This window comes from Homo sapiens, chromosome 2 (genome assembly GCF_000001405.40).
Source record: "Homo sapiens chromosome 2, GRCh38.p14 Primary Assembly".
In the NCBI taxonomy this organism is placed as follows: Eukaryota; Metazoa; Chordata; class Mammalia; order Primates; family Hominidae; genus Homo; species Homo sapiens.
The window spans coordinates 234,555,557-234,564,001 of NC_000002.12; the positions used below are offsets into that span (position 1 = coordinate 234,555,557).

An 8,445-nucleotide genomic window follows, 5' to 3' on the forward strand; every position below is an offset into this window, starting at 1 on the left:
CCATGGCTCAGCCTGCCTGCCCGTGTCAGGGAAGGGCAACCCCACCATGTGCTGGGGAGGAGGGAGACCGGGCTGCTGGTGAACAGCCCTGATGGCCACCACGCAAAGGAAAAGATTTAGAATCTAATTCTGAATGCAAGAGGAAAACATGGGACTGCATTAGGCTGCAGATGTACAGGATTTGATTTAGGTTCGTAAAAGCTCGCTCTGCATGAGCTCACTCTGTGGTCGCGAGGAGGATGTGGCTGGAGGGGTCAAGAGCGCAAGTCTGGTTAAGAGGCTGCTGCAGAGCCCAGAGAGGAGATGAGGCTGATGCAGCCTGAGGCAGTGACCAAGAAAGGCTGCAAAGGTACAATAATCAAGCCAGAAACCTGGAACCCATCCCTGACAACCACCTCCACCATCTGATCCACTCACAAGCCAAGCTGATTCTATCTCCAAACAGAGATCAAATCTGTTTAGTCTTATTCTGACCATGACGGCTTCAGCTGTTTTCACTTGGCCTTTTGCCAATACTCCCAAGTAGTCTTCTAGACCATTCCTCATGGGGTTCCAAGAGTCATCTTAGGATAGATGTAGGAGCCTGTTACCCCCTCTTGCTCAGACCCCTCATTGAATTTCCACTGCCTCTAGGATAAACTTTTCCCAAACTCATTCTGCGGCACCCACCTCAGCCCCAAGCAAAAGCCTTCTGGTCCCCTATTAGGTGCCTTGATGTGCCAGGTGGGCCCGCCTGGCAGGTCGGTCATGCAGGCTCTTCTCTCCCAGTGCACAGAGCCTCACTCCTGCCTCCCAGACACACACATACTAACACCCCTGCCTACCTCCTACTCTTCTTTATCATCCCAGCTTAAATGACATTGTTTTAGCAAAGCCTTCCCTGACCACCCTTTCCCAGCAACTTAAATCAGGCCCTCCTATTCTATGCTTTTATAGCATTCTAGGCTATTCCTTCACAGAAGTTGTAGCTTATAATGCTCTGTGTGTGAGTGTGTGAGTGTGTGTGCATGTATAAGTTATAACTCTGTGTGTGTAAATGTTATAGCTCTTTGTGTGTGTATGTGTGTGTGTAATTGACATCTGTGGCACATTAGTCCTGGGAGAGCAGAATATGTGTATTTTGCTCACCACTGAATCACCAGTACTGAGCAAGGTTCCAGGCACAGAATTGGCATTTGATGTTTGCGGAATAAATAAATGAAATGAATAGCTAAAACAATGACAGCTATCCAAATTATATTTCTAAATAAACTATACAGAGTGCAGTTAACAGATGACATAAATACAATTTTATATGAAATATATTATAACTAAGTAAATGGAATGCTGAGACTACCTTCCAATCCCCCTATCCTCTAAGAAATAGGAAATAGTCCATTCATTTGCTGTTAAAATCTTTACCAATCATTCTAGTCCTTCTTGCTCTATTTGCATTGTGTCTCAGCTTTAGGCAAATGAGAAATGGGAAAGTGACTCACCAGGTTTGCTCAGTGGCCAGCTCGGAAGGAAAATGCTTGGTGTCCCAGCAGTTATGGACATCACACCGGCAGAGGGGCAGGTGGCCTGGTCCTCCCTGGCAGGATGTGCCTTTTTCAGATGGCCCCACGAGGCATCCTGCACCCTGAGGCCTGGTCCATCTCCCAAGTTCACACTTCCAAGAAGAGAAGGTGGGCTGGGGAAGGATTCAGAGCTGTCTGGGCTGTGTTCACTGCCATGTTTATTAATAGAGCTGCTGTGAAACTACCTGGACTGAAAAAAAGGGACTCAGGTACAAAATTCCTGCATCAGCTGGTGCTGAGTCAGCCTCAGTTCATGATCAGGAATGTTCTGAATTGATCATCAGCCTGAGTCAACATTTGCACCCTCCACCCTGGGCAGGTCCAGTGGTCCCTGTGCGTGGAGCCCAGCACTGGCTGCAGTGCAGGAGCTGGAACTAGAAACACGGAAGGCAGGTGTCCAATGTACAGGTGAGGTCAGCCTGCAGGGAAGTGGGGGGGCATGGAGGTCAGGGCAAGAAGCAAGTTCCTACCAACAGGCTCGGCAGGCCCTTTTGGGATTTCATCTCTCGCTCTGCCTCTTCTTATAAGGTCACCAATCCCATCATGAAGGCCCCAACCTCATGGTTAATCTAACCCCAATTACCTCCCAAAGGCCCATCTCCAGATATCATTACATTGGAGGTTAGGGCTTCAACATATGAATTTTGGTTGGACACAAACATTCAATTAATGCATCCCATTATTAATGTTCATTTGTTGGAGAGGGGAGTTATATTATTAAAAATGCTAGAGGAACATGAATATTTGTCAAGATTTCTGATTCTTTTTCTTTTCTTTTCTTTTCTTTTTTTTTTTTGAGACGGAGTTTTGCTCTGTTGCATAGGCTGGAGTACAGTGGCGCGATCTTGTCTCACTGCAACCTCTGCCTCCCTGGTTCAAGTGATTCTCCGGCCTCAGCCTCCCAAGTAGCTGGGATTACAGGCATGTGCCACCATGCCTGACTAGTTGTTGTATTTTTAGTAGAGACAGGGTTTCTCCATGTTGGTCTCGATATCCTGACCTCAGGCGATCCACCCACCTCGGCCTCCCAAAGCTTTTTCTTTTTTATACAACTTTATTGAGGTATCATTGGCAATTAATGGAATGCGCGTGTTTGAAACGCACAGTTTGGTAAGTTTTGACATGTGTACATGGCAGGGGAGCCATTGCCACCTTCAAGGTCATCCCTGCGGGAGGGTCCCCTTTGCCATTTCTCCCCCTTGTCCCCAACCCACCTCAACCTGTCCTCAGGCAACACTCATCTGCTCCTGTCACTATGGAATAGTTTTCTTTTTTCTAGAATATTATATAAATGGGATCATACAGTATGTACTCTTTTTTTTACAGCTTTTTTAGCTCCATGTAAATATTTTAAGATCCATCCCTGCTGCATGTCATCAGTAATTTGTTCCTTTTTACCATTGAGTTGTGTTCCATTGTGTGGCTAACCCTAATCTGTCTCTCCCTTCCCTGATGATTGACATTTGGGTGGTTTCCAGTTTGGGGCTTTTACAAATAAAGCTGTGATGAGCAGTTGTGTATCAGCCTTTGTACAGACATTTGCTTTATTTTCTTTTGGGTAAATACCTAAAAGAGGAATGGCTGGGTCATAAGGTAGGTGTATGTTTAAGGTTTTAAGAAACTGTCAAACTGTTTCCAAATTGTTTGTATCATTTTCACATTCCTCCCAGCAGAGTGTGAGTGTTCTGATTTCTCCACATTCCTGCCAGTGCTTGACATGGCTAGTATTTTGAAGTATAGCCATTCTAGCGGTGATGTAGCGGTATCTGACTGCGGCTTTAATTTGCATTCCCCAGGAGCTGGGTTCCTAACCACTGCTGAATTGTGCCTCTCCAAGCCTTGGCCTCCTCCAGAATCATCATGAGAATTTTATGCCTGCCTCACAGGGGTTCTGAGGCGTGAGTGAAGTATCCATTCATTCTCTGCCCCATCTAATCATTACCTCTCCCAGGTGTTTTGAATTTTACCAATAGCCATGTTGGAGAGGGAATGAGAATCAGGCTTCTCTGGTTTTTATAAAAACCGATATGATAGAGTATCCATTCATTCTCTGCCCCATCTAATCATTACCTCTCCCAGGTATTTTGAATTTTACCAATAGCCATGTTGGAGAGGGAATGAGAATCAGGCTTCTCTGGTTTTTATAAAAATCGATATGATAGGCCGGGCCTGGTGGCTCACGCCTGTAATCCCAGCACTTTGGGAGGCCAAGGCAGGCAAATAACCAGGCCAGGAGGTTGAGACCAGCCTGGCCAACATAGAAAAACCCCATCTCTACTAAAAATACAAAAAATTAGCTGGGCATGGTGGTGGACACCTGTAATCGCAGCTACTCGGGAGACTGAGGCAGGAGACTCGCTTGAACTCGGGAGGTAAAGGTTGCAGTGAGCTGAGATCACGCCACTGCACTCCAGCCCAGGGTGACAGAGTGAGACTCTGTCTCAAAAAACAAAAACAAAAAGAAAATTGATATGCTATATCAATAATTGCCTATAGCAAGAGTCCACAAAAGATGTCAAAAAATGTCGGCAATATTGACACTAAGAAAATTCCCTGGATGCTGGAGCACAAGTCATTGTTTCCTTGTCACCATTTCTGCTACTCAACCCAATGCACAAGTTGAGGAAGAGATGCATTACCTTCCGGTTTCACCTCACTGCAATTCCAGAGAAGTCAGAGCCCTGCCCTTGAGGAGTGCATGAATCAGAGGGAAGGCAAACACCTCCTGCAGACACAGGACACAGCAGGCACCTGGAAGTACCGTGCCTTGAACTGAGAGACTCAGGGAAGGCTTTATGGATCAGGAGCTCCTAGAAGAAAGAGTAGACGTTTTCCCTCATGTGATAGTGTAGAGAATCCTGGGAGAGGGACCGTGTGTGTGAAGGCCAGGGGGCCAGGGTAAGTGGGAGTGTTTCTGAAGCAATCACAAACCATTCAGGGGGCCTGAACCAATTGACCATGCTAAGATTGATTTTTCATCGTAGAGGCTAAGAGGACATTTTTGAGAACTTTGACCATGTTTTAGGAAGATCAGAGTGGCAGCAGTTTGCAGAATGGGAGAAGGGGATGAACAGCAGTGAGTGAACGAGTGACTGCATAGTCTAACCCTTGATCACAAGGGTTAGACCAAGACTGCTGCAGTTGTCCAGGGAAAGAGGTATTCATGGGCCTGAACTAAGTCAGTGATGGTGGAGAGAGAGAAGGGAGCCAGTCGAGTTCTAGGAGAGCTGAAAACATTGGCCGCTGATCACATGAGAAGGCAGAGGGACCCATTTCTGCTGTGGATACTGGACATCCACTGAAGTGTGAAATGCAGAGCTTAGTGAGGAAGAGGAAGCACTGGAGGGATGTCCCTGCGTGCTTCCCAATGTATACACCCCAAACCCAGGCCCTTCATCACTTGTATGGGGAAGCGATGAAGGGCCTGGGTTTGGGGTGTGTACACTGGGAGGCACCTAGGGGCATCCCTTGGACAATGGCATGGTGTCTGCAGCTCAGAACAGCTTGGACTGTTGAGAGTCATAGGACACGGGAGAACAGCAACGCCAGGGGTAACGGTGAGATTGCCCAGGGCGGTGGGCAAGAAGTCCGAGGAAGAGGAGCCTCCAGAGGACTTTAGGGGGCACTGGTGGGAGAGAGAGGAAGGAAAGAGACCTCCAAATTCCAGTCAACATGGGGGAGTCAGAGTTAAACAAACCTGTAAATCGTTAAGTGGATAGAAGCACAGAGAGGAGGGCCGAGACTGGAGCTCTCCCACAACGGGAGCCCGGAAGGGCAGATGCAGGGGCCGTTACTTCAGCTCTGACCGGGTGGGATCCAATGGCCCCAGGGAGGCTGCAGGGCAAGGTTGGACACCCTTCATGAGACCAAGGGCTATGGTTATATTCTCTCACTCGTGAAAGAAACTCAAATTCTCTGCCCCCCTGGGATGGCAGCCAGAATGTAGCTGCGGGTCTGTGATGAAGGAAAAGGCAGACAAACAACAGCGGATCGGGATCTTGGCATTTGGAACTGCTTACCAGTTCCAGGATCGAAGCTGCCATGAACTCTTGGGGTGAGAACCCTGAACTGCTAATAACGCTCTTCCTCTGAGTCTTGGTCTCTTGGAGATCTGACTGAGGATACCTGAAATTATCAAACAGGAAAAGGTGATGCCTGCAGGAGAGAAAATACGGCTCCTATGCCAAACGAGCCCATAAATGAGCGTTATAAAGAATCTCCCAAAATCAGATGCCCCAGAAGAAAGACACGAAGTTAACAAATTGGAGAATACACACCTGGAAAAAAATAGAAAAATAGTGAAAACTGAAAAGGACTTTAATAGTGTGTGTTTAAAATCCTCAGAAAGTTTTAAAAAAAGTGACAGCAACTGTAAATAAGAACAGGGAGTTATGAAACAAAAACATAGCACTCAGGAATCAAGATCAATATGGATCCATTGATCAATGATCAATAAAGATCAATTTCAAAATCTGGAAAAAAAAGGTAGTTTTGAAATCAAAGCCCGCCGCAATGAGGTAAACAATAAGCTGGAAAAAAGTTGATGAGCGACTTTGTAAGACAGAATTGCAGAAATCAATCAAAATGCAGCACAGAGAGATAAAGAGAGAGAGAAATATGAAAGAGAAGTAAAGCGATGTGGAGAAGATACTGAAAAGCTCCGTACATATGAAACAGAATAGAATCAGTAGGGTCATGGCTAATTATTTCCAGAAGGGAAGGAAAATAAGAGCTCCTCAGACTAAAAGAACAAGTCGAGGGCCAAGTAAGATAAACACACAAACAAAATTCCATATTTAGATGTATCAGAGTGAAACTACAGATCAGAGATGATAAATACAATTTCAAACTACCAGAAAGAAAACACATTTTAGCCTAGGGAATGGCTATCTGTTCGAGAGCATCTTCATCAGCAAAAAAGAGGCCAGAAAACAATGGAGCAAAATGTTGAGGGAAAACATCTAACAATGCAATATTCTCTGCTCAACTCAAACGTCTTTTAAGAGTTACGGTGGCCCCTCTCCCCTCTCCCCTCTCCCCTCTCCCCTCTCCCCTCTCCCCTCTCCACGGTCTCCTTCCATGGTCTCCCCCTGATGCCGAGCCGAAGCTGGACTGTACTGCTGCGATCTCGGCTCACTGCAACCTCCCTGCCTGATTCTCCTGCCTCAGCCTGCCGAGTGCCTGCGATTGCAGGCGCGCGCCGCCACGCCTGACTGGTTTTCGTATTTTTTTGGTGGAGACGGGGTTTCGCTGTGTTGGCCGGGCTGGTCTCCAGCTCCTAACCGCGAGTGATGCACCAGCCTCGGCCTCCCGAGGTGCCGGGATTGCAGACGGAGTCTCGTTCACTCAGTGCTCAATGGCGCCCAGGCTGGAGTGCAGTGGCGTGATCTCGGCTCGCTACAACCTCCACCTCCCAGCCGCCTGCCTTGGCCTCCCAAAGAGCCGAGATTGCAGCCTCTGCCGGTCCGCCACCCCGTCTGGGAAGTGAGGAGCGTCTCTGCCTGGCCGCCCATCGTCTGGGATATGAGGAGCCCCTCTGCCTGGCTGCCCAGTCTGGAAAGTGAGGAGCGTCTCTGCCCGGCCGCCATCCCATCTAGGAAGCGAGGAGCGCCTCTTCCCCGCCGCCATCCCATCTAGGAAGTGAGGAGCGTCTCTGCCCGGCCGCCCATCGTCTGAGAGGTGGGGAGCACCTCTGCCCCGCCGCCCTGTCTGGGATGTGAGGAGCGTCTCTGCCCGGCCGCCCCGTCTGAGAAGTGAGGAAACCCTCTGCCTGGCAACCGCCCCGTCTGAGAAGTGAGGAGCCCCTCCGTCCAGCAGCCACCCCGTCTGGGAAGTGAGGAGCGTCTCCGCCCGGCTGCCACCCCGTCCGGCCGGGGGGGAGGTCAGCCCCCCGCCTGGCTAGCCGCCCCGTCCGGGAGGTGAGGGGCTCCTCTGCCCGGCCGCCCCTACTGGGAAGTGAGGAGCACCTCTGCCCGGCCACGACCCCGTCTGGGAGGTGTGCCCAGCGGCTCATTGGGGATGGGCCATGATGACAATGGCGGTTTTGTGGAATAGAAAGGCGGGAAGGGTGGGGAAAAAATTGAGAAATCGGATGGTTGCCGGGTCTGTGTGGATAGAAGTAGACATAAGAGACTCCATTTTGCTCTGTACTAAGAGAAATTATTCTGCCTTGAGATGCTGTTAATCTATAACCTTACCCCCAACCCTATGCTCCCTGAAAACATGTGCTGTGTCCACTCAGGGTTAAATGGATTAAGGGCGGTGCAAGATGTGCTTTGTTAAACAGATGGTTGAAGGCAGCATGCTCGTTAAGAGTCATCACCACTCCCTAATCTTAAGTACCCAGGGACACAAACACTGCGGAAGGCCGCAGGGTCCTCTGCCTAGGAAAACCAGAGACCTTTGTTCACTTGTTTATCTGCTGACCTTCCCTCCACTATTGTCCTATGACCCTGCCAAATCCCCTTCTGCGAGAAACACCCAAGAATGATCAATAAAAAAAAAAATAAATAAATAAATAAAAAAAAAGAGTTACGGTGGCCAAGCGCGGCGGCTCACACCTGTAATCCCAGCACTATGGGAGGCCGAGGCGGGTGGATCAACTGAGGTCAGGAGTTTAAAATCAGCCTGGCCAATATGGCGAAACACCATCTGTACTAAAAATACAAAAAAAAAAATTGGCCAGGCGTGGTGGCCTGTGCCTGTAATCCCAGCTACTGAGGAGGCTGAGGCACAAGAATCGCTTGAACCTGGGAGATGGAGGTCGCGGTGAGCCGAGATCGCACCACTGCTCCAGGCTGGGCCACAGAGCAAGACTCTGTCTCAAGAAAAAAAAAAAAAAAAGAGTTACGGCAATATAGAAATATTTCTAGGCATACAAGTACTA

The 8,445-nt window shown here is 48.6% G+C and overlaps 1 annotated feature.

Annotated features, from left to right (window-relative positions):
- Nucleotides 7,177–7,920: an enhancer, noted in NCBI's record as "NANOG-H3K27ac hESC enhancer chr2:235471377-235472120 (GRCh37/hg19 assembly coordinates)". NCBI's record gives its function as "activates a minimal SCP1, AML or CMV promoter by ChIP-STARR-seq in naive H9 embryonic stem cells {active_cell/tissue: H9 hESC(naive)}" and the evidence as "EXISTENCE:reporter gene assay evidence [ECO:0000049][PMID:30033119]".